Below are 27,096 nucleotides of genomic sequence, written 5' to 3'. Positions count from 1 at the left end.
GATCTCAGCTCACTGCAACCTCTGCCTCCCGGGCTCAAGCGATTCTCCTGCCTCAGTCTCCTAAGTAGTTGGGACTACAGGCGTGTGCTACCGCACCCAGCTAATTTTTGTATTTTTTGTAGAGATGGGGTTTCACCATGTTGCCCAGGTTGGTCTTGAACTCCTGACCTTAAGTGATCCACCCACCTCAGCCTCCCAAAGTGCTGGGATTGCAGACATGAGACATGGCACCCAGGCTCAGAATACATTTTTAAAACCCTTAGTACTCACCTAGCAGGCCAGGTGCAGTGGCTCATGCCTGTAATCCCAGTGCTTTGGGAGGCCAAGGCAGGAGGATCACTTGAGCCCAGGAGTTCAAGACCAGCCTGGGCAACATAGCAAGACCCCCATCTCTACAAAAACTTTTTTAAAAAATTAGGTGGGCATGTTGGTGTGCACCTGTAGTTTTAGTTACTTGGGAGGCTGAGGCGGGGAGGATTGCTTGAGCCCAGCAGTTTGAGGCTGCAGTGAGCTATGATTGTACCACTGCACTCCAGCCTGGGTGACAGAGTGAAACCCTACCTCTAAATAACAAGAGCAAAATAACCCAGTTTTAATATGGGCAAAGGATACACATAGACATTGCTCCAAAGAAGATATACAACTGGTCAATAAATACATGAGGAAATGCCTGACATCATTAGTCATTAGGGAAATGCAAATCCCAAACCACTATGAAATATCACTTCACTCCTACTAGGATGACAATAATCAAAAAGATGGATAATAGCAAATGTTGGCAACAATGCAGAGAAATTGGAACCCTCATACATTGCTGGTGGAAATATCAAATGGTGCAGCCACTTTGGAAAACAGCACGGCAGTTCCCTAAAAAGTTAAATAGAGTTGCCAAATGACCCAGAAATTCTATTCCTAGGTATATAACCACATATCTTCACACAAGAATGTGTACATAGATTTTCATAGCAGCACTATTCATAACAGCCAAAAACTTGGAATCAACCCAAATGTCCATCAACTGATAAATGGATAAACAAAATGTGTATCTATACAATGGAATTCAGCCATAAAAAGAACAAATTACTGATACGTACTACAATATGGATGAACTTTGAAAACATTATGCTAAGTGAAAGAAAGACACAAAAGGCCACATATTCTATTATTCCATTTGTATGAAATGTCCAGAATATGAAAATCCATAAAGACAGAAAGTAGATTACTGGTTGCCAGGGGATAGGGGAACAAGAAGTGAATGCTCAGTGGATATGAGGTTTCCTTCATGGGTGATGAAAATGTTCTGGAATTAGATAGTGGTTGCACAACTTTGTAAATATGCTACTTGTGAATATACTAAACAATGCACTCTAAAAGGGTAAATTATATCTCAAGGAAAAAAAAGGCGGAGGGACAGATTTGGCTCATGGGCCATAGTTTGTCAACTCCTGGTCTAAAGCAATGATTTTTGGAGTCACACAGACCAGAGTTAGAATCCTAATTTTCAACTTATGAGCTCTATGACCTTGGACAAGTCACTTAATAGCTTTAAGCCTCACTTTTTTATATGTTGGGGATATGTATAGTATCTCCCTTGTATTGTGTGAGGGTGGAGTTAGGTCAAATGTAAGCTCCATGAAGGCACTCAATCTCCAGGGCCTAGAACTGGCAGGCTCTCAATATACATGAATGAATAACTAAAGGATTTAACACAGTCGCTGACTCATCGTAATAAATAATAGCAAATCCTTATACAGTATTTACTGTATTACAGGTACTATTCTAAGTGCTTTGCAGAACTTTATTTCATTTAATACATAGTATTATTATCATCCTCATTTTCCAGATGAGGAAACTAAGGTACAAAAAAAATTATGTAACTTGCCCCAAATTATACAGCTAGCAAATGGTACAACTAAAATTAAAACCCAGGCAGTTGTGCTCATAAGTCTATGCAATAAATATTGAATGTCAATTATCATCATCATCATCATAGAGTTTAAAACATATCCAAGGATACAGATCTCCTTTCTCCTTTTGGTATCTAAGCACATACTAACAACTCTACTTCCTCAGTGTTTGATTTAGGGTGAGGATGCTTCCCAAGTCTCTGATGTTCTGCTAGAGAACATGTTCATTCTTTCATCCATCCGTTCATTCATGTATTTATCAAGCATGTACAGGATCCCTACTGTGTTCTAGGCCCCGTGCTATATAGAGATAAAAAAGACATACTCTCTATCCTGAAAGAGCTCAATGTCTAGTCGGGAAGACAATTATAATCCACAGTGAAAAGTGCTGTAGTAGAGATTATGCAAGAGTGCTATGGAAGCAGAGAAGACCCAAGCAGGGAATAGTGTGGAGGTAGGAAGAAGGAAGGACCTGTGAACACTTCCTGGAGGAAGTGGTACCTGGAGAATGTTCCCAAAAAGGAATGTGGATTAGTTGGGTGTAGGAAGGGAGAAATAAGTCAAGATTAGGTTAAAATATGCATATATATATAGACTGAAAGGCCCAGGAGCCCTTGGTGAAACCCAGGGAACAAACGGCACAGAGTCCAACATGACCAAAAGCCAGGTGGCAGAGGGGACCTGAAAAAGCTCCTAAGGGCCCAAGTGCCATTCAAGTTTGGTCCTGAGCAACTAATTACCCAGCATTCCCCAACCCCTTACCCTACTTTATTTTCCTCTGCAGCACTTATCACCATCTGACATGTACATGCTTGTTTATTTACTATCTGTCCCCTCCCACTAAAATGTGAGCTCCCTGAAGGCAGAGACTTTGTTTTGTTCACTGCTATATCTCCTTTGACTACTGCATACACATGTTTGGATTGCCTGCATTCATAGGCACTCAATAAGTATTCTTAAATAAATGAATGAATGAAATAAAATCAATAAACTAATGTCCTGAGAGCTCTAGGGAAGACAGTGATGATTAAGATACAGGACCCAACTTCCAGGAACTTATAGGCTTAGCGAGAGACCTAATACATGAACATGAGTGCCTATTGCACTCTGTCTCCTCTCTTCTTTCACTTCCTGCTTTCTCTCCTAGAACTTTCAGACTGTTGTCTGACCATTCAAAATTCCCCATCCCTCACAAATATTTCTCCACCGCATCCAGGACTTCCTAGTTCCCAAAAGTGGCTCATGTTCCAACATACACCTGCCCTCCTTCCTGGCTCTGCCCATCCAAAATCTCATTCCTGGTAGCTGTCCGAGTCTACTAGATGTTGTTAGCATGCTCAAACTAATTTTCACTAATGTATGACTCACTTCCAGAGTAATCTAGGGTATATTACTTTTTTAACTTTTCATTACGGGAACTTTCAAACATAAATAAAGCAGAGAGAAGAGTATAATGAACCCCCATGTACCCATCACCCAGCTTCAACAATTGCCAATATTACTATTCCTATTTATTCTATCCCCCATTTTTTTTCTGAAGAATTTTAAAGCTGATCCCAGGTATCATACCATTTCATAGCTGATAAATATTTTAGTATGTATCTCTAACAGATAAGGACCTTTTCTTAACATAAACACAATACCATTATCAAACTCAACAAAATTAATAATCCCTTATCATCTGTGGTGGTTAATACTGAGTGTCAACCTGATTGGATTGAAACATACAAAGTATTGATCTTGGGCATGTCTGTGAGAGTGTTGCCAAAGGAGATTAACATTTGAGTCAGCGGGCTGGGAAAGGCAGACCCACCCTTAATCTGGGTGGACACAATCTAATCAGCTGCCAGCGCAGCTAGAATATAAGCAGGCAGAAAAATGTGAAAGGAGAGACTGGCCTAGCGTCCCAGCCTACATCTTTCTCTCATGCTGGATGCTTCCTGCCCTCGAACATCAGACTCCAGGTTTTTCAGTTTTGGAACTCCGACTGGCTCTCCTTGCTCCTCAGCCTATTGTGGGACCTTGTGATCATGTGAGTTAATACTTAATAAACTCCCCTTTGGCCGGGCACAGTGGCTCACGCCTGTAATCCCAGCACTTTGGGAGCCCAAGGCAGGTGGATCATGAGGTCAGGAATTCGAGACCAGCCAGGCCAACATGGTGAAACCCCATCTCTTCTAAAAATACAAAAATTAGCCAGGTGTGGTGCCACATGCCTGTAGTCCCAGCTACTCAGGAGGCTGACGCAGGAGAATGGCTTGAACCTGGGAGGTGGAGGTTGCAGTGAACCGAGATCGTGCCACTGCATTCCAGCCTGAGCGACAGAATGAAACTTCGTCTCAAAAAACCATGTAGTTCTGTTTCTCTAGAGAACCCTAATACATCAGCTAATACCAATCTCTGTTAAATTTTACCTAGTTGTCCCCAAAATATCCCTTACATGGATTTGTTCAAATCAGGCTCCAAAGAAGGCCCATACATTAGGCATATACTTTTAGGTTTAAGTCTACTTGATAAAATTTCAGGCCTTATGGAAAAGTGGGGACTAATCAGCTTGAAGCCCCTCTGGACATCCCAGATTCCCTAACCCTAGGAGCTTCAGGATAGCCTCTCCCTGGCTGGAGAAAGGAGCTAGCCATTCAGGCCCCAGGTTCCTCATCAGATCCTTTTTCTGTTCCCCAATAAGGGGTGGAGGGACTGTCACCTTGCGGTGGAGTGGGGAGACAAGGAGAACCAAAGAAATGCCTTGCAAGCAAGTTTTTGGTCTGTCTCCTGTCCAACCACCCCTAATCCCCACCTCCATCCTAGCTGACCTCAGAAATATTTGGTTCAGCTGCGTAAATGTCATCGTAATTACAGTCATTCTTTGGAGCTGCTTATCATTATGCCTAATTACAGTACAGCACAATAATCATTATGTGTATCATTAAAGATGTGTCAGATTGACTTTGCCATGAGTTTTATTTTATTTCAATACTAAATTGCTCCAGTAGGCACAGCCTTTAGAGCTTGTTGCTCCTGGTCCCTACTGGGGAGCAGGAGACCAGCTGTTGGCCAGCCTGCATCTGAGCATCCCATCCTGTCCCATCCAGTCCTGTACACTGCCACCTGCACTGGCTCTGCTGCAGCCCAGTTCGGAGGTGCCTGCCTGCCTGCTTGTCTGCCCTTCTGCTGCATGGACTGCACACCTGGGCTTAAGGCAGAGTGATTTGCACTTAACAAACAACAGAAACAAACAAAACAACAAAACCCTTCAGGCTCTGCCAGCATCAACCACTGCTTCCCCTGTCCACCAGGATCTCAGTCAAGCTTCTCATTGATTCAATCCATGCAACATCTTCATTATTCTCCCTATATGATAGGGAATGTGAAATGAGCTGATATGTCCAAAGTCATCGGGTTCATCATTAGCAGAACCGGAAAAAGAACTAGAAGCTATGATGCTGAGCCAGAGCTTCTGTGGGAGCCCTGGCCAGGTCAGGCTCCATGCGTTAGGCATTCGTCTCTGGTAGTGGATGCATTTTCAGTTTTCAAATGTACTAAACGATGCTATCTGTGCTGCTGGGCAACTTCCTGAGAAGCAAGCACAGGAGAGTTGAGGGGTGTGGGGGCGGGGAGCAGTACTTTTCCAACTCGTGTTTTCGTGCTGTGAGAACCAAACTGAGAGCCTGGACGAGGTCACCCTACACCTTGCCTCACTGGTACATTGTCAGGCTGCCTCTGCCAGCAGACTTCTTGCAGCTTGCCAGAACCAAGGTCGTCACGAATCAGATAAACCAGTGTTGAAGAAGCATGTGTAACATATCAAATCATTGCCTAATGAGCCTTTCCTCTGGGTCCTGTGCAGACCTAACAAGTGAGTTCAGTGCATGTTTGCTCAAATGCTCATTTATTCAGCCAGCCTTGAGTGAGGGCCGTCTTTGTGCCCTGCGTTGTGCTAAGAAAGCATCTTTGTGCTAATGTAGTTCTTGCTCCTAAGAGCTGCACTCACGGCCCAATGGGGAAGGACAGCATGTAAACAAAGATGCCAGAGTAGGCCAGAGGGCTGTAAAAGGCCTTATGGATGGCCAGGCGTGGTGGCTTATGCCTGTAATCCCAGCACTTTGGGAGGCCGAGGCAGGCAGATCACAAGGTCAGGAGATCGAGACCATCCTGGCCAAAATGGTGAAACCCCATCTCTACTAAAAATACAAAAATTAGCTGCATGTGGTGGTGCGTGCCTGTAATCCCAGCTACTCGGGAGGCTGAGGCAGAAGAATTGCTTGAGCCAGGGAGTCAGAGGTTGCAGTGAGCCGAGATCGCGCCACTGCACTCCAGCCTGGCGACAGAGTGAGACTCCATCTCAAAAAAAAAAAAAAAAAGCCTTGTGGAAACACACGGGAGGGAATGAGGAACTCTGACTTTGGGGAGTTAGCAAAGACTTCAAAGAGGTTACATTTGAGCTGGGTCTTGAAAGCTGAGTAGGAATGGTCTAGGCTGAGAAGGGAGGGCTGGGCATTCTCTGCAAAGGGAATGGTGAACGGAAAGGCAGGCAGGTGTGACAGAGCATGAAGGAACCCAGGATCCTTTTGCAGATAAAGAGGAAACGAGTTTCCATTAATGTATCTCATGGCCTTAATAATTTAAGGTCAGACCTGGTTGACTGGTTTTCCATGACCTTTGCTTCCCTGCCCCGCTTTTGTGCCAGCCTTTTGGCCTTTTTGCAGTAGCTCTGAATTTAGCTCAAAAGCTTATGCTGAAATATGCCATTTCATTTTGTTCATTCTATATTTTGTGCCAATCACACTGGCCCATTGAATGGCTTAGCTATATGTTATTCTAGGTTTTGTGGAGCAGCAAAAGGAAGCCTTTTTCTCCCTAGAGTCAAACTCAAGGAAGCAGAGCCTGCTGTGAGAAAGGATGGCACAAAATCTTTGAGGACACCTGAACTCCATGGGCTAGGCATTTGCCGCCCATGTCTGTTGTCAGCTGAATGGTGTGTTTGTTTAGCTGTGACTGCTCTCTTCATTAGAGGGGCATTAAAATGCTGTTGGTTTGAGTGTGGCAAGGTGATAAATCATCCTTGTGTGGACTCTTAAATAAACTATTAGGGGACAAACCTAAGTATGCCTTTGCTAATCTGTTGGTGAGCATTAGCCACATCTAGAGCCTTGGAGGGGCCCAACAGCCATAAGTTAGAGTTTTTGTAATGAAAATGAAACCCCCTTCATTTATCTAGCCTCAGACCTTTTCACACAATTTCTTCCTGTGAGCCTCATAGACAACCCTTTAAGGTTGGTGGGGTGGGAACTCATGCCCCATTTGACCAACGTGGCGACAGAGCCTTGAAGAATTAAGTGTTGGTGGAAACCAGGCCCCTGATCGCAGTGCTGGGGACCTTTCCTACTACTCCGTGCTGCCTGCTGCTGAGCCAGCCTTTCCCCTGTGCCATGTGGGCCTGGGCAGAGGAGGCACTCACACATTTACAGGACAGCTGGCTGCCGGGAAGCACCAAGTCTACAACTGTGGAACAGGCTCCCCGCTATGTTCACAGTACCCTTGCCTTAAGAAACACCTCTGGATGCTTGCCATGTTAGCACCAAACTAGTGTAAGGTAGATAAAGAATGACAAAAAGCAACCTTGGAGAGCAAATACCCCTCCAAGATCTATGTCATTTACTCCCTTCTTACCAGCAGGATCAGGTTCAACCTACATAAATCTATTTTAGTGTATTTTAATTGCTTGTAAACTAAGTGTTTCCTGTATATGCCACTGACCATGAATAATTAGAATCATTTCAATGACTGGGTTTTGGGAAGTGAATGGGAGAGCAGACAAAAAGGGGCTGCTCAGAAACGAGAGTCATTTGTTAAAGCGTGAGTGGAAGCGTTGTCTCAGCCTTCCCCAGTTTTGGTTTGTTTTTTTCATGATGTCACTAGAGCCGCCTGTTTTTCAGCTACTCTGGCTGCCCTTCATTTTGTATGCATCTCTCATGTTAAGTAATGCCAGCTGCTGACAATGACCAGGCCTGACTGGCCACATGTCAGAGTCATTCATTCACTCAGCAAAGATGTATGGAGCGCCTACTATGTGCCAGGCCCATACCAAATCTTAGGGACAAAGAAAAGAATAAGGCCCAGTTCCCACCCTTGAGGAGAACACTGCCCAGTGGAGGAGACAAGCACAAAAACAGTTACACTAGAATGTGTAAGTGATAGAATCAAGAGGCAGTGAGCTGTGGGAACACAGAGGAGGAACTTACTCCATCTGGGGGAGCTGGGAATGGCACAGTAGAGAGGCAACATTTAGCAAGGGCTCAAAGGAAACAGAAGAATTGACCAGATAAAGAGGAGTGGGGAGAGACACTTCAGGTCAATGTGGCTACAGTTTAGGGGCCGTAGCCCAGGTCGTGGTGTGCGATAAGGCTGGAGAAGTCAGCTGAGCCAGACTGTGAAGGCCTTTGTATGTCCTGCTTTCAAGTTTGGACTCAGTCCTGCAGTCAGTGGGGAGCCGACCATGGTTTTTAAGCAAGGGAATGACATGATCAGATCTGAATTTCTGATGGAAAGCTCAGGAAGGGAGGGGAGACAGGGAAATCAGTTAGAGGCTGACTAGGATTTTGCTTTGTCTTCCGTCTGGATTGCAGGAGCTCCTTGCCTGCACCTCTATTATGGTTCTTCCCACAGTGCATTATAATTGATCATTTGCATAGCTGTATCTCCATTCACTCCTTGAGGGCAGGGGCCAAGTCTTGTGCATCTCTTCATGACCAGAGCCTGGCACACAGGAGTGCTCAAGAAACATTGGTATCATGTGAATGAGTGAATAAATGAATCAATAGGTGCTGAGCAAGTGCAACTCCAGTTTGCCCCAAGTAACCTCTCTGATGGGTATATCAGAGATAAATCCTACTCTGATGGAGTAGCAATTCCATCCATGGCTTTTCCCCTCTCTGCCAAGCCCATCATTCTATCGTGGTCCATCACAAAAGAAAGATGCATTATTCAAAGCAGACAAGAAAGTTGCTTACAGAGCTGTGTTGGTGCTGGTTTTGACCCAGTACTCTGTTCTTTCTCTACAAATTAATTTTTGATGACTTGTTTACAGTATATCTTCATTGTCCTTATTCCACTTCTTGTGCATTTCATACCTTCTCTTCCTTCTTACTTAAATCTTGCTCATCCTTCAAGGCCAGTTCAATTGCCTCCCATCTCCTCCATGAAGCCTTATTCATTACTCAGCCCCCATACTCAGAATTAAGAATTCCCACTTCAGAATTTCCCTTGAGAAATGACTTACCTCTGACATTCTTCTCATTATAGTTATTCCTGTACTTGTCTGCATTCTCTACTAGACTGTAAGCTCCTCAAGACCAGAGATTATATCTGTGTCATTATCATCTCCCCAGCACCTACCACACTGAATCCTGCCCCAGCAGATAACCAGTGAGTGTTTTCAAATATAGGTTGAGCATCCCAAATTTGAAAATCTGAACTTTAAAACGCTCCAAAATCCAGAACTTTTTGAGAACCAACATGGTGTGCAAAGGAAATGCTCACTGGAGCATTTCAGATTTCGGATTTTGGGATTAGGCATGCTCAACTAGTACATATAATGCAAATAGTCCAAAATCTGAAAAAAAATTCAAAATACAAAATACTTCTGGTCCCAAGTATTTCGGAAAAGGGATATTCAACCTGTAATACCCAAAGCATAGTGCTTTCTATCGGGCTCTCCCCTGAGAGATAATGCCAGTCTTGGGAGTACTCTATGCCTCTTTCTATCTTCTTGCACACGGTTAGATATAGTTTTCTTTGTTTAACAAGTAATGAGGAAAAAAAATCATTGCTCATCAAACAATGGGAATATCACAGAGATAGAGATCTCCTAAACCATATTATTTCGGGGGTCTTTTTTTGTACATATTTAGAGGGTACAAGTGCAGGCTTCTTATATGCATATATTGCATGGTGGTGAAGTCTGGGCTTTTACTGGGCCCATCACCCATTATTTCGGGTATTTTGATGAAATCAGGAACGTTCAGGATGGTATTATTTCAGGTATTTTGAATGCACAAAATTCAATGCCTCTAAACAAAGCATAAACACACTAACCCATTCAGGGTCATAAGTACAAATCTTTCTTGAAGAGCTTATTGTATGGTGGGACTTTTTGAGTAAACAAAAAAAAGATGATGAGCATTCTCTTTGGAAGGACTTACAATTAGCTCTACTTGGAACACATTATGCAAAATACCAAGAATTCAAATTTTCCAGGTAGAAATGTCCAGCAGATGATTATAAATGCACGTCAGAGGCTGGTGACAAACACTGACAGGACCCAGAGATGTAGGATCTCCACATAGGCGTGATTACAACACCAACAGAGGGCGCGAACTCCTGCAAAGAGAAAGAAGAGAGGCTGAGGATATAACCTGAGGGCACCTACATTTCAGAGACAGATGAAAGAAGAGGATCCAGGGAAGGAGACTGAGAAGGAACAGGGAGAGCAGTGGTTATGAGAGAGAAGATAGTGTGATGACATGTGCTGGAGAGAGATCAAATAGGATGAGTGATAACTGAAAAGAAGACCTTAGTTGGGCAATTAGGAGGTCACTCTTGATGTCCTAAAGCAGGAATAGCAAATGTAGGGCACATATGACTACGTGCCCTCAGACCCCACCCTGCCGGGGTCTATGTACTCCTATGGATACATTACAAATTGATCATGGCCTGCTTCCCTGTTGAACCAAGGCACAGCTTCAGAATCTTTCTCAACACAGTACCCCAAGCAGCTACTACCAATTGATCCGAGTTGTCAAGAAGCTGAAATCTCTTTGCCATCTCTCTTCTAAAAAACAGTTCAAGGCTGGGCACGGTGGCTCATGCCTGTAATCCCAGCACTTTGGGAGGCCAAGGCGGGTGGATCACCTGAGGTCAGGAGTTCAAGACCAGCCTGGCCAACATGGTAAAACCCTGTCTCTGCTAAAAATACAAAAAATTTAGCTGGGTGTGGTGGTCCACGCCTGTAATCCCAGCTACTCGGGAGGCTGAGGCAGGAGAATCGCTTGAACCTGGGAGGCGGAGGTTGTAGTGAGCCAAGATTGCTCCATTGCACTCCAGCATGGGTGACAGAGTAAGACTCCATCTCAAAAAGAAAAAAAAAAAGTTCATTGGAGGTGTGGGTTGCAGTGAGTTGAAGTGTCTGAGAAATGAGGAGGTCAAGGTGTTGAAGAAAAGAGAAATTTTAAGAGGTTCAGAAGTGAAGGGATAGAGAGAGGGCAGTTGTTTGGAGTAGTGTAAGGATCAATTCTTATTAATCCTCCAGTAGAAGCAGTTTTCAAAGTCATCTTAGTACTTGTCCAGCAACAAGCCAGGTAAAGCAATATCCCTATACCCTTCCTTCTTCCATCCCCACCCTTGGCTTAAGGAAAATTTGATGTAAAAAACCTTCGTGTGTAGGCTTGTTTCCAAAATATTCATTTGATTAACAGAGACATATGGTATAACCAGAGTTGGCTCTGCACACAGTATGAAGAAGGAATTGTCTCTAATCGTGGAAATTTGAGGATCAGCAGTGATGGGGCAAGGTATTAGTCTTGGCCAGGGCTCTTCCCTAAAACTCTTGAAACCATACCCTGAAGGAAAATTCTGGCCTGCAGGGAGACCCCTGCCACCCTGCCCTTGTCTTTCCTGTCTCCTCCTCTAGACCTCCTTCTTCCCCTTCCCAATCTAAGCCCCTTCTCATTTTTATCTCTTCTACTCCTTTCTGTCACCTCTGTCCTGTGCCTCTCTCTCCTACCACTTCAAGTTTCTCATTCCCTCCTCTTCTTTTCCATCTTTCTTAATAGTCATTTTCACTTGGAATCCTTCTCTTCTTGATCTCTCTGCCACTCTTTCTGGCTTCAGGGTTTTGGGATACAGGGTAAGCTCTTAAGAATTCACCCTCATTCAGTCTAAATGGACATTTGTAAAGAAATCCAATTTTACTACTGCCCATTACATTCAGAGCTCTGTTTCTTTGTACAGTTGATAAAGCACAAGAAAAAGAATGATAATATTCAGCATTTAATAGTATTTACTGAGCATTTATAATAAGCCAAGCACACTGTTCTAAGTTCTTTACATGAATTCACTCATTTATTGTCACAACAATCCTAAAAGGTAGGTTCTGTTATTATTCCCATTTTACAAACAAGAATACCAAAATACAGAACAGTTAAGTCACTTGCCTAAGGTCACACAGCTAGTAGGTGGTTGTGTTAGTCCATCTGCATTGCTATGAAGGAATACCTGAGGCTGGGTAATCTATAAAGAAAAAAGACTTAATTGGCTCACAGTTTTGCAGGCTGTACAAGCATGACACCAACATCTTCTGGCGAGGCCTCAGGAAACTTTCAATCATGGTGGAAGGCAAAGGGGAGCCAGCATGTCACATGGCCAGAGAGGAAGCAAGAGAGAGACGGGGGAGGTTCCTGACTCTTTTAACAACAAATGTGACATGAACTCTCAGAGCAAGAATGCACTGATTACCATGGGGAGAGCACCAAGCCATTCATGAGGATCCGCACCCATGACCCAAACACATCCCACCAGGCCCCACCTCCAACATTGGGGATCACATTTCAATGTGAAATTTGGAGAGGACACACATCCAAACTACATCAGTGTAGAGCAAAGATGTAGGGCTCATCCCATATGACTCCAGAAATCTCAGTCTTTAACTGCTGTGCGTATTGCTTCATGACATAGTGGAAGCCTATAAAATGGGAAGTTCAAAGTCATTGGTTCAAGTTCATATCTCTTAACTGTATTACATAGTGTTAAGGTTATGATCTTGGATAAGTCACCTAATTTGTCCAGTGCCCCCCACATGTGAGGGCATTTTATTGTACACTAACCAATACCACATACTTTAGCTTGGATTTATTCCTCTGCTTTTGCTATAATTATATCTTCCCTCTCTATTTGATTGTCATCTCCTTGAGAGCAGTCACCAGACCTTATTTTTTTTTTTTTTTGGTACTCAGCTTGCCCCCAGGGCCTAGAATGATGCTTAGCACCTAGTACAATGCATTCATGTGCACACATGCAAACATATACACGCACACACACACTACTGTGGATTGACTAACATAAGAACCTACTAATTAGATGACATGCAAATGGGCTATATATATGTGTTCATGAAAGCCTCTAAGTACTTTAGCTAATGAAATAAGATGTTAATATTGAGCATATTCTTTGCTTAAATGTAATTAGTGCTCAAGTTACAGTGAGCTATGATTGCATCACTGCACACCAGCCTGGGTGACAGAGTGAGATCTTGCCTCTAAATAATAATAATAATTATAATAATTAGTGCTCCATTAAGATAACATTTCCCAGGTTTACTTGATTATTTTGCTTAATAAACTTTTTTATACCAATAGGTAAAACCATTAAAATATCTGAAAAATAAAACCATTTCCATGCCCTCTTCATTCACTCAAACAATTCTTGGCACGACCATGCACTGGTGTATAAGCCTCACCACCAAGCAGTTCTTAAGTGCCAACTCTGTGTTCAGAGGTAAAATGAGTACCACAGGTAGGATACAGATGTAGTCTAGACAGGACACCAGGTTTCTATTCCAGCAACTAAGAATTCACTTTTTTTCCATCCCCATCTTCACCTCCACATGTAGCATCTTATCTTCAATAGCCCCTATCTCCCTGACCTTTTGGTTGTGCTCTGGACACTCCCAATCCCCCATCCTCCTGCCTGCTCACAAGCGCTTTTGATGTGCTGCTTCCTGCCAGTTCAATTCAACAACTAATGGAGTTATTATTTTTGTTTGTCTGTGTTGTAAAGCCATGGCAATAAAATCTACTCCCAATAATATCACTGCAATTTTATGTCCTTAAAATGTACCATAAATGCCATATGTATTCACTGAATTTCCTGTAAACAGAAATGTTTTTCTGGGAAAAAAGAGGGCTTTTTTGTTTCCATCATGGTTGAGCCTAAGTTCTTTGATGGAGTAATTGGTGATATAGGAAAGATTGAGAAGCATCATTCAAGACCATGTTATGGTTCAAAGTGCTGGTGCCGTGTTATTCTGGTCATGATGAGTTCTTTTCAAACAGTGATTCAGGACAAGAAATGCTCTTCCTGACCAGAACCCACATTACCGTCACAGGCATGACTTCCCCAACTAAAAACAGTAAAGCCTCAGGGGTCTGCAAGAGAGATTGGCATTGACCTTGGGCTTGCCCTGATAGAAGCAAGTATAATTTTTAGGAAAAAGTAGACTGTGAGTTAACAATAAAAAATGTGAGAGCTGCTTGGATTTTTATAGAAAGGGATTTGGACAGAAGCTCTTTCTTTCTTCTTCTTTTTTTTTTTTGACGGAGTCTCGCTCTGTCACCCAGATTGGAATGCAGTGGTGCAATCTCGGCTCACTGCAACCTCCGCCTCCTGGGTTCAAGAGATTCTCCTGCCTCAGCCTCCCTAGGAGCTGGGATTACAGGTGTGCGGCACCACACCTGGCTAATTTTTGTATTTTTAGTAGAGACAGGGTTTCACCACTTTGGGCAGGCTGGTCTTGAACTCCTGACCTCGTGACCTGCCCGCCTCACCCTCCTAAAGTGATGGGATTACAGGCGTGAGCCACCACGCCCAGACTTTTTTTTTTTTTCTTTTTTTGAGACAGGGTCCCACTGTATCACCCTGGCTAGAGTGCAGTGGTGCAATCTTGACTCACTGCAACCTCTGCCTCCTGGGTTCAAGGATTCTCATGCCTCAGCCTCCCAAGTAGCTGGAACTACAGGCATGCACCACCATGCCCAGTTAATTTTTGTATTTTTAGTAGAGATGGGAGTTCATCATGTTGGCCAGGCTGGTCTCGAACTCCTGGCCTCATGAGATCCACCTGCCTCAGCCTCCCAAAGTGCTAGGATTACAGGAGAGAGCCACCACGCTCAGCCCCATCACAGTATCTCTTTCCCATCCACTCCATCCCCACAGCAATCACTCTGGTTCAAGCCTTTTTTGTCCCCCACCTTGTACTATTGCAGGTGCCTCTACATCAGTCACCCAGCTTTGCATTTGCTGCTCTCAGTTCCCATAAGGCACAGCTTCAGTCCTGACCCTGCCTCATTGCCTGTCACATCATGTCCTGTCTCCTCAACATGGGAATCAAGGCTTCCTGTGCTCTCTTTTTCCAACATTAGCCCACTAACAGCACTTGCTCTTCCCCAAACTTGTCCTGCATTCTCTTGCCTCCTCTAACTATCCCCCGACACACACTCCATGCCTGCCTGTCTAGAATCACCCCATCCTTCAAGAACCTAATTCGCCCTACTGGATGTGAATCTGTTCAGAATCCCAATCATTTTATTTCATTCATTCAGCAAACATGAATTGGGTGCCTTTTATTTTCCAGGCCTTATGTTAGGAGCTGTGGATAATATAGAGATTTAAAAAAAAAAACAGTATTCTTCCCTTGTGGATCTCTGTCTAATGGGCCAGAAATACAGACATAACTAACTCGAAATACCTATTATGCTGCCCCTGACTCCCATCCTATAGATTCTTTTCCCTCAGCCCATAAACATACTTAATATCCTCCCATCTTAAAACACCCACCTACCCCAGCCCTACCCCCGTATCAAACTCCTGAAAAAAAAGAAAAAAAAAAAACAGTATACAGCAGGGGTCCCCAACCCCCCTGGGGCCACGGGGCTGGTGGCCTGTTAGGAACCGGGACACACAGCAAGAGGTGAGCAGCAGGCAAGTGAGCATTACCATCTGAGCTCCACCTCCTGTCAGATCAGGGGCAGCATTAGATTCTCATAGGAGTGTGAACCCTATTGTGAACTGCATGTGCAAGGGATCTAGGTTGTGCACTCCTTATGAAAATCTAACTAATGCCTAATGATCTGAGGTGGGACAGTTTCATCCTGAAACCATCCCCACCTCCCTGGTCCGTGGAAAAATTATCTTCCACAAAACCGGTTCCTGATGCCAAAAAGGTTGGGGACTGCTGGTATACACTAGTCTCCTTCTTAACCGCCCTTTTCTTAGTTTCAGTTACCTGCTGTGTCAACTGTGGTCCAAAAATATTAAATGGAAAATTCCAGAAATAAACAATTCTCAAGTTTTAAATTGCATACTGTTCCGAATAGCATGATAAAACCTCACACTGTCCTGCTCCCTCCCACCCAGGATGTGAATCATCCCTTTGTCCAGAGTATCCATGCCATCTATGCTACCCGCCATTAGTCACTTAGTAGCTGTCTTGATTATCAGACCAACTGTCACAGTATCACAGTGCTTGTGTTCAAATTACCCTTATTTTGCTTAATAATGGCCCCACAGCACAAGAGTAGTGATGCAGGCAGTTCGGATATGCCAAAGAGAAACCATAAAGTACTTCCTTTAGTGAAAAGGTGAAAGTTCTTAACTTAAGGAAGGAAAAAAATCATATGCTGAGGTTACTAAGATCTACAATAAGAACAAATCTATCCATGAAATCCTGAAGAGCCGGGCATGGTGGCTCACACCTGTAATCCCAGCAATTTGGGAGGCTGAGGCGAGCGGATCACTTAAGGTCAGGAGTTGGAGACCAGGCGAGACCAGCCTGGCCAACATGGTGAAACCCTGTCTCTACTGAAAATACAAAAAAATTAGCCAGACGTGGTGGTGCGCGCCTATAATCCCAGCTACTCGGGAGGCTGAGGCAGGAGAATCGCCTGAACCTGGGTGGTGGAGGTTGCAGTGATCCGAGATCATGCCACCGCACTCCAGCCTGGGCAAAAGAGCGAGACTCCGTCTAAAAAAAAAAAGAAAGAAAGAAAAGAAATCTGTGCTCTGTGCTAGGTTTGCTTTCGCGCCTCAAACTGCAAAAGTTAAGCCACAGTAAAGGATAAATGCCTAGTTAAGAAGGAAAAGGCATTAAATCTGTGGGTGGAAGACAAGAGAAACCTGTTCTGATTGACAGCAATCAGGCTCGGTACTATCTGCAGTTTTAGGCATCCGCTGGGAGTCTTAGAATCTATCCCACGGGAATAAGGTGGGGACTACTGTATTCCCGTCATCACTCTCATCTCTGCCTCCTCACTCCCATTAGGCCTCTGCCCACCCTCCACTGACTTTGCTGCAGCAAAGGTCTCTTTCCAATGGACAAATCAGAAGACACCTTTCAGCCTCCCTCTTTTTTACCCTCTCAGCAAGATTTCAAATTGTCGCCAGAACTGTTTCCACTCCTGTGCCCACCTCTGAAGTATTGCTGTTCCCCATGATTTTTCCTTGCCTCTCCCCTCTTCTTACTCTGTAGTAAGCTCCCCCCACCCCCAGCAACCATGGCAATCTTGTCCAATTCCTTGATTTTACGTTGCTGGTAACTCCTAAATCTATGACATGCATTGTGTCGTAGGCCCAACCTCTCTCCTAAACTAAGAGACCACTCTGTCATCAGCATCCTGACCCTCAACATGCTCCTAACTGAACTCCCCTCTCACACACGTACACCCTACCACCGAACCTTCTCCTCTGCTTGTATCCTTCATCCCGTTCATGCTCCTCCCACACAGCCAGAAATCCTTGCCATTCCCCTCTTCCTTATTCCCCACATGCAATTTACTGTTTAACCCTATTGATGCTATCTTTGAAGTTTTTCTATCATTCTATTCCTTCCACCCTCTCCTGGTTCAAGCCCTATTACCATTCCACAGGGCTACAGCAGCAGCCTTCTAACTGGTGTCCCTACTTGCATTCCTCTCCTCAAATTCCGATACCTTCTCCACGCTGTAGCCTCTGAGCCCTCTAAAATGCACAGCTGATCTCTTCATTCCCTCATTTAAAAGCTTGCAGAAGGCTGGGCATGGTGGCTCGTGCCTCTAATCCCAGCACTCTGGGAGGCCAAGGCAGGCAGATTACCTGAGGTCAGGCATTCAATCAAGACTATCCTGGCCAACATGGTGAAACCCCGTCTCTACTAAAAATACAAAAATTAGCTGGGCATGGTGGTGTGCTCCTGTAGTCCCAGTTACTCGGGTGGCTGAGGCAGGAGAATCACTTGAACCCGGGAGGGGAGGTGGAAGCTGCAGTGAGTCGAGATCACGACACTGAACTCCAGCCTGGGCGACAGAGTGAGACTCCATCCCCAAAAAAAAAAAAGCTTGCAGTATCTCCCACAAGCTTCTACTCACTTATCCCACAAATATCTACCACCTACTAGGTGCACACACTGTTTTGGAAACTGGCAATGCAGCAGGGAACAAAACAATGTCCTGCCTTCACGGACCTTCTAGTCGGGGATAAAGCCAAATGCCTTAGCAGGGCCCATCATGAAATGCATGCCTGCCTCCCTAGCCTTGTGTCCTTCTTCTCCTTGTCCGTGCCCCCTAGTCATATCTAATTCACTTCAATACCTGAAATGTGCCCCTTATGTTTCATACTCTCTGCCTCCCTCCCATCCTCTATACCCCCTTTGCAGACTCTACTCCACAGTCACTTTTTCTGGGTAGTGTATAGGCTACCATAGCTAGTGCTGATCTTCAGAATGACGTGAGTTCAAATCTCCGCTCCACACATACCAGCTGCATGACTTCTGTCAAGTTATCCTACTGTCCTGGGCTTCAGATCCTCAGCTTCAAATGGAAACAATAGTAGTACCTACTGCATGGGTTGGTTGTGAGAATTAAGTTAGTCAATCTATTAAAAATGCTTAGACACTTTAGGTGCCTGACACATAATAAGCTTGTAATACGTGTAGTATTGTTAATATTATACCACTCATCACACTGCTCTATAATAATCCCTCCTATGAAACGTGTCTTATTGTCTTTGTACCCCAATGACTAACCTAGCTGGGCACATAGTAGATACTTACTAAATGTTGAAGCAAGGATAAAAGGATTGGTGGATTCAGGTTCGTTGCTTGGTTTCCTCTAATCAAACATGATTATGGAGGAATAACAGCAACCTTAGGGCTTCTTCTGAATATCTTTTTGACCAACTATCTAATTGTATGCCGCTTTCACTGTGTGAGTAAGACCTGGAGAGACATGAACAAGAAAAGAGCATTGAGGTGGGCTGAACTGAACTCAAGCTTGGGCTGATCTGAACTCAAGCTGAGCTATTTACATTTCTTTCTTCATTGACTCTAGGGTTGAGAAGGGACCAACTACCCTAGAATAGCCACTACCTTTCACTTCCATCCCTCTGCCCCATCTCATACTTTCCATTTGCCCCCTTTTCAGTACCATGTTCCCCCTCAAAAGTGCATAAACTGAAGCCCAGAAAGCAAAAGAAGTGCTGAGGGGGAAAGGGGAAGGGGTGGAGAGAGGTTAGCACCTCCCTCTTTCCTTCAGTGAGATCAAAGCCAGCATTTTCCCTTGAAGGTCAGCTGGCCTCTTTCATCCCCTGCTCCACCTGTCTGGGAATGGGATTGCTGCTTGCCCATTTCCTTTCCTCTTCGGGGCTGGAGGGGCCTCAAGCTATTTCTAGTTCTAGCCAAATCCCTCCACTCCAACATCTCTTTTGCCTTACGTGATCATATTTCCTTTCCACCTCGCCAGTAAGTAACAAGTGGCAGGACCATAGGGCAGAAAACTATGAGAGAAGTCAGTTTCTCCACAGGCTAGTCAGTTTCTCCTAGGCTAAGCTAATGGCTTAAGCAAGCGGGGAGGGACACTGAGGCTGCTGGGCTTGGTCTGGCAGGAAGAACAGACTCATCTTTCTACATCTCGGCCCTAAGCGCTTCACCTGACATCCTTCAGGGTGTGGATGAGGCTTGGTTAGGCAAGGGCCTCTTGCCCCAGGAGAAGGGAATTCACATTTATTGAAGTCCTAGTATGTGCTGGGCCCTATGCTAGGCCCTTTTATAGATATTATCTCATTGGCTCCTAACAGCCCAACCAGGTCAGCATTTGTCATCGTCAGGTGGAAATGATGAAACAGAGATTAAAAAGCTTACCTGATGACAGGTACACTAAAATCTCAGAATTCACCACTATATAATTCATCCATGTAACCAAAAACTACTTGTACCCCCAAAAGCTATTGACATTTAAAAAATTTTTTTTAAATGAAGCTTACCTGAGACACACAAGCTAAATCCAGGCACCAAAATCTAGCTCCCCCAACTCTAAAGCCAGTGCTCTTTCCACTTCATCATGCTGCCTCAAGAGTCTAGAAAAACTGTTAATGCTATGAATTGATTCTTTGAATTATTTCACACAATTAGCTATATGGCTAGCTAAACCCTTGGTGAGTTAATTTAATTCAACATACATTTAAGGGAAACCCGTGATGACTTGAGTTGGACACTGCAGGGTATGCAAACAGAACATGACAGAAGTTTCTACCTTTGCAGGCCAGCCAGCTGCCATGTAGAACTGGCTCACAACACAAGGACTTTCTTAAACAATCTGAGTCCCCTAACCTAAGAACAGTGCAAATAAGCAGGACCTGGGAATAACATCTGATTGGCAAAGGTGGGGAGAACTTGAGGAACCCAGACTTTGCTATTATTACCAGCAGCCAGCCTGCTTCAGCAAAGAATGGGTTATGTATGACTGTGCCTACCGTGTCGCTCAGTTAGTTAAAACCAGGTGCTAATGAAACCAGGACAACAGGCTTAATCCCAGTAGAATTGAGTTCTGTCACATAGCAGCCAGTCCTGGTCCCAGCTGACCATCTTGCAACCATATGCTCTTGGTCAAAGAGGGAGCTAAAGTAGGAGAGTGAGGGTAAGTGCATAATAGGCACACATAAGTGAGGACGTGTTGTTCCAAACACTCAGCCCTAATCAAGCAGCTCATGATGTGTCACTGACAGAGAATCAGCAGTGTCATCTTCGCACCTGGAGGCAGAACATTCCCTCCTCCTATACCTCAGCTAGGTACCCTGCACCTGATCTTTATAGCACGTTGATGCCAGGGCTTCAGGTCTCCAAGAGGAGCTTCTTCATTGCAGCTGCCTTTCTTCTGTTGCGCTATCTAAGCCTGTCTTTCCATACCCATGAAATGAGTGTACCACTTGACACACTCTGGGGAAGAGGCTGCCTAAGGAGAGAGTGTCACACCTGTTTAAAACCTTCTCTTCCATAGCCAAGCCCACAAATTCCTCAAACTTGGACTGAGGGGCCCTCCTTAGCTAAAAATACAAGCCTCTCAAGTTTCTTCAACCATGATACAGGGGAAAGGGGGTAATGGTTCTGGATGTGTCCCCCAGGTAACCTCTCTTGTCTGTTCCACATATGGGTTTGGTAAAGCCAATCTCTACTCAAAGCCTTTTCTATCTCTGGAACTCAGGGCTTCAGGTATCAGAGAGTAATAACTCCAGCAGGAAGGACCTAAGCCCCTCTCTCTTTCTAGATCAGTCCATACACACATATACACACACAAAGGGCATTATAAACATTGGCACAGTCTTGGCCATTTTTCTTTTAATTAAATGTGTAGAGTTTTCTGTCATGGATATGCAAAACCATCTCCCAATCAAGTTACTTCCATGGAATCTACAAAGACACTGTTAGAATCCCTAGAGATTGTTCCACAACATCTCCCACGGTGCCAGATGTACATTCAGACTCTTAACAAGGATAATTTGGTGACAATGGCAATAACTCTGGATTATTTTTAAGAAGCTCTTTGAATGGCATCAAAGTCATGACGTATATCAAGATCCTTTTTTCATGCCCTCTGTACCATTTTGTTTTCATGGAATTTGAATTTCCCTGGTTTACTTACCACCTAACAATATCACTATTGAAAGCACATAATGTTAAGGACCATATGCTCTCCCTCTGGAGAGTGTGCACAAATACTATTTCTGTTAAAAACTAAACAGAAATAGTAGCTTTGCATATTTCCCATTCAAAGACTTATCCCAATTGAATGATTCCCTTTGTCGTGGAGTGGTTTTCCCCAAGTCAGCCCTACCAGAGAAGCTGAATCAGATATTGTGACTCCCCAGTGGTCACAAGGAGTCATCTACCAAGCTAGAAATAGAATCCACAAACATTTATTTTGATTCTTTGAATTAAAAAACAAATAAACTCTACTATAGAGAAAGAAAAATTAAAGTAGAGAAACTAGACTTCTTTGCCATTCCTGGGCCAGGGAATTCAAGGCAACCAAAACTAACAAAGCAGCTGCCATGGTCTGTGGGGACCAAGGAAATGAATAAGACACAGGTGCTGCCTGCCTTCGGGGAGCTGACAGTCCAGTGTGGGGCGATTGGGTCACTGTTGAAAAATCTCTACCCAATGCAGAATATGCCTGTGAACACCTAGAGGACCCCAGAGGAGGTCTCATCCATCTTTATAGTCCCTCTGCAACAAGCACAATGACCTGCATGTGATGTGCAGGCAAGTACTGTGTATTTAAGGGCCCTGAAAGAAGTACCAACAGAATGCTCTTGGGGTTGGTGGAGAAGGAGGGACAGCTTTGTGAAGGAGGTGACATTTGAGCTGTGCCTGGAAGGATGGGGAGGTTTTTCACAGGCAGTGGGGACTGGGGGAGGGCCTTTGCAGTCCCCAGGAAAGAGCAATGGCAAAGATCCTAAGGAAAGAGAAAGCACGGTGTGATTTGGAAGAGCACCAAGCAGTCTAGTGTGGCCAGAGGACAAGGAAGCAGTAAGAGCTGAAGTTGGAGAGAAAAGTTGAGACCTAAGCAGAGAGACCGTTGGACAGCAAGCTAAATAATTTCACAGGGGAATATCATTGAAGGTCTGAGCAAGGGGAGTAGTGATACCACCAAGGCAGGGCTTCCTGCTGCATCATCCTGTTCTGCCCAAGGAGGCCTCCCTTGCCTTGTTGGTAGTATGAGTTTCTTTTGATTGTTTGTATGTGGTTGGTTTGGAGGTTTTATGTGGCTTAATTTGTTTTTTGGCCTTTCCCTTTTCCTTACAGTTTTTCACAGCATATGGTCCTGATTATGTGCTGGAAATCACGCCAAGCTGCCGGCCAGACCGCAATGAGCCCCACCGAATCCAACAAATCCTCAACTACATCAAAGGTGAGCACCGCCCCTCGAGGCCTGCCCTCCTTGTTCCACCCAGTTTGTGGTGGCCCATCAGTGGGGGCTTCCTTAAATACCATTTGCCTTTTGGTAAGCTAATCATTTCACTGACTTGGAAAGGAAACCTCTTCTTGGCCTGACAGCTTGTAGCTGGAATTCTACACTGGCCACTCTGGTTGGGATTGTCATTTGGCTGGCTAATGTCACCTCAGAAGGACAAAGGGTTCAGCTTTTGGCACTGCCAGGGGAAAATCAGCTCTAAAGTGTTCCCTGAGACCCTTTTTCTTTCAAAAGGCCAATAGTAAAGCACTCTTTAAGATGAGAAAAGTTGGCCGGGCACCGTGGCTTACGCCTGTCATCCCAGCACTTTGGGTGGCTGAGGCGGGAGGATTGCTTGAGCCCAGGAGTTCAAAACCAACCTGAGCAACACAGCGAGATTCCATCTCTACAGAAAATTTAAAAATTAGCCAGGCATAGTGGCATATGCCTGTGGTCCCAAATACTTGAGAGGCTGAGGCAGGAGGATCCCTTGAGCCCAAGAGGTTGAGGCTGCAGTGAGCCATGCCCACACCACTGCATTCCAGCCTGGGCGAGACCCTGTCCCAAAAAAAAAAAAGAGGAAAATTCAAGTCAATTCAGACTTAGCAGGGGTGGGGAGGGGGCTCACAGGCATTCTCTTCCAGTATGTATGAGTCCTTGATCCAGTAGAGCCTTGAAAGAATGTGGAACTACAATGAGTAGTCAGGGATTCTGATGCCCTGGGAGTGGGTTACCTGGACTCAGCCAGAGTGCTGCAGATGGGCTGCTGGCCTAGCCTCCTTGCTGGCCTAGCCTCCTTCCCGGCCTAGCCTCCTTCCCTTCCCCAAGGCTGGCCTGGAATCATTCTGGCCTCGGGGTAGAGGGGAAGTGGCAGCCATCAGGGCATTTCCCTCCTGATCCCACTGTCCACTGGCTGTTTGGGGTCACTGTCCTCAGCATTCTAGTAGCGCCCCCTCTGAACTCCAGCTGCTTCTTCACAACTCACTTTATCCACCATTCGCATTACGTATTTTTGGCACCCATTTTCCTGTTTAATTAAATGTACATATACATATGTGTATTTTTTAGATCCTAATTATTTGCCAGAGTTAAGAGGCCAAGGGTATCTTTTTGCCTAACCTGGACAGGGAAATTCTCATGTTTATTCATAAAATGACCAAGATAGCACCAGTTCTCCTACCTTTGAGTCCCTCGCTGGAATATAATCCAACACAAAAAGGAGGCCTGTTCTATGCTGGAGTTAGTCTGAGGAAACACTACACTCGGAGAGTCTTTGCTGTGAGTTACATTAATGCCCCTATCCACTAGCAGAGCCCAGTAAATGACAGCAGCAAAGTCTTCATGTCCTGAGCTCATTTAGCCAGAGAAAAGTTTTTAAGCTAAGAAGTCATAGACTCTCAAGGTTATTCTCACAGCATTGCTGATTGTCCCCTCTGAGGCGTCCCTTAGCCCTCAGCCTTCTCGCGACCCTATAGTTTCAAGCTAACTCCCTCTCACCTCTCAGTGGCTACTGACCCCACAAGTCCTTGCTTCCTAACAAAATCCTCCTCCCTTATCCAACTTTTAAGGCCTTCAAAATCCTTCCACTCCTGGCCCTTCTCCAGTTCTTCTCATGGTGTTGCAGCCTTGATGAACACTAGCCATCCAGCCCGTTTTCCCTGCTCCCCTCAAACCTGGTACGCATGTCCTGTGTTCCTCAGAACTGATCCTGGACCGGCTTCTCTTACCCTTCTTCCTTCAACTCTGCCATTTTCCCCCATCCAGGCTCTAAATCCTGGTAGAGCACAGACAAAGCAATAGAAACAGGGAAACCAAGCAAGCCTTGCAGCTACTCGCTCACACCTCCATATGTGCAGATATGTGTATGCCCTTGCTTCCCTGCACACATACCCAGGGACATAGCTCCAGAGAGTGGTGGCATCTTGCTATTGAGGAAATGGAAATGACAAGTGAGAGAAGACATAAGGAAGGTAATGCAAAGGGAAGAGAACGAGGAAAGGTAAGAACCCTAAAAGAGCAGAAAATCAAAAAGAGATTTGAGATAAAAGGCTAGGACGAGGGTTGGTGAAAAAAATAACAGATCTCAAAGGACATGAAAATTACATGGAAGTCAAGCTTTTTAAAGATCCTAACAGGTTAAAGCAATATTCTGATTGTAACCCAATGAAATCAAACTGGAGGAAAACATATGGACCAGAAATTGGGTCCTACAAAAGCAACTACATGCATGCAAACTGGGGCAACATGGCTTAGCAGCATTTTGCTAAAAGAGAATTAGGGATTTGAGTCAACTCGGAGCTCAGTATGAGTCACCAGGGCAAGGTGGCCTCCAGAGATGCTAATGCAGTATCGACCTCATTTTAAAGGGCTCTAGACAAATAGGAGCATGTTCCTGGAGGTCAGTCAGGCTGGGGAGAGGACTGGAGCCCAGGCTCCAAAAGGTCTGGTTGGAGGTGCTGGAACCTTTTGGAGAAGACCTCGGGGATGTGGTCTCTACTTCATATATCTGTCACAGTGCAAAGGGCATAGACAGGGTCTATGTGGCCACAAGGCATAGAGCTGGACCCATGGATGGATATTTTAAAAAGGCAGATTTTCATTCAATAGAAGGAAGACATTTTCTAACAATTAGAACTATCCAAAGTGGAACAGACTGCCTAGAAAGGCATGAGGTCTCTGTCACTGGAGATATACAAATAGAAGCTAGACAATCCCTAGGCTGTCATATTGTAGAAGGGCCCCTTCCTTGGGGGAGGGTGATTGGACTAAATTGCTGTTAAGGCTCCTTCCAACCCTAAGATTCTAGGATGCTGTATATTACAATGAGAAAATAGAAAAAGAAAGAATATGGTGAGAGTGCAGGGGTTGGCAGATGAGTCACAGTTGTTGGGTGTGGGGAGGTGATGCCGTGTATAGGAAAGAATTGAGGCAGAGAAGAAGAGAAACTACATGGCTAAGAGTGGGTGAGGAGGAGCCAGAGAGGGTAGACAGCAAGTGGAGTGGCTACAGAATACTAGGAATGTTCAGACTTTCCATTTAGCCATCCCTTTCATATTGACAAAGTCTTGTTTTCTAGCCATGCAAATTTAGCGGAACACACAAGCTCAGAACCAAAGAGAAATTCAGCTAAACCTTTAAGAAACAAGGCTAGAAAGAAGTCCAAATGTTGCTAAAAATGGCCAGGCTAACCTGCTATACTGATACTGTGCCCCTTCAGCATGGTGACGCATGCTGCCATCAGATAGTGCGTTGCCATGACAATGGTCAGCGTGGAAAGGCTGCTGAATTTTCTGAATTCTGAAAAATTTTCCTGAACCTGTCTACAAGACTGTTATTTGTTCTTGCTTATAAAAACCTCAGTGAAGCTGGTCATTTCTCTCTGTACCTCCCCTCCACCTCCCCTCACCCCATGAAAAACAAAGAGTAGGATGTGACACAGATTGCTTTGGAGAGGTAAGATGGCAATGAGGGAATGAATGGATTCAGCTCCACTCTATGTGTGGGAGTTCAGCCAGCATATCTGGTTGAATTTGTTCAGCCTTTAAGCTTGGGCTTTTTCTCTTTCTTGCCACATCCCTTAGAGGCACAAAAGATGAGACTGTAGCCTATTGGAAACCAAACCTGAGAAGATTCATCTTACAGAGATGTGTTCCGCATGCTACAGGATGACTGAAGGGACAGGCAAATTTAGACCTCAACTTATCCCATCTTTACTGCCCATTAGTCTTTCTGAGAGGAAAAAGACCCACAAAACCATGGAGAGTCCATTCAAGCTCTTAGCTTCACACAGAGAAAAGCTCCTCTCGTGCCAATGAGCTGTCTTGAAGGCATGTGTCGTTGTTCATAAGAAAGTACAGGTTAGAGAGCAGATGGCTTAGTCCAGCTCATGACTACTATTGTAAAATCATCCTTGCACCATGTTCATTTGCTTAAAGCTGGTTGCCTTTCCTCTGGTGAATGTACTCCAGAGGAACTGGCTCACGGTGAACCTTCCAGAGTTGGAATAATGCTGATATGATTAATCCCCAGGGAGGGCTAGCTCCTCAAGCCTGGCTAGCTCTGCATGGGGAAATGCAGATAGAGGTAGGAGGCTTTCTGGTCTCTGGTACTGATGACATTCGAATCAAGTGGAGGTCCCTAGGAGACTCAGAGCTCCACAT

General features: G+C 44.7%; 1 protein-coding gene across 16 annotated transcripts in view, besides 1 other annotated feature; it reads left to right on the top strand.

Annotated features, from left to right (window-relative positions):
* Positions 1–27,096, top strand: part of HDAC8 (histone deacetylase 8) — a 243,328-nt gene that overhangs the window by 198,217 nt on the left and 18,015 nt on the right. For 15 of the 16 annotated variants that reach the window (NR_199815.1, NR_051952.2, NR_199812.1 and 12 more), the window contains one exon: positions 22,789–22,894. Coding sequence is in view for 11 of the 16 variants with exons in the window: in XM_047442255.1 (XP_047298211.1) it covers positions 22,789–22,894 (106 nt within the window). In the remaining 5 variants the exon portion in view is untranslated. Of the gene's footprint in view, positions 1–22,149; positions 22,246–22,788; positions 22,895–27,096 lie in introns of all 16 variants that reach the window. The other variant, NR_199813.1, reaches the window with a different exon arrangement.
* Positions 25,301–25,360: an enhancer, noted in NCBI's record as "active region_29761". NCBI's record gives its function as "activates an Ori minimal core promoter by ATAC-STARR-seq in GM12878 lymphoblastoid cells {active_cell/tissue: GM12878}" and the evidence as "EXISTENCE:reporter gene assay evidence [ECO:0000049][PMID:35858748]".

This window comes from Homo sapiens, chromosome X, assembly GCF_000001405.40.
Source record: "Homo sapiens chromosome X, GRCh38.p14 Primary Assembly".
NCBI lineage: Eukaryota > Metazoa > Chordata > Mammalia > Primates > Hominidae > Homo > Homo sapiens.
Note: the sequence above shows the minus strand (reverse complement) of the source record. Positions and strands in the feature narration are given on the sequence as shown.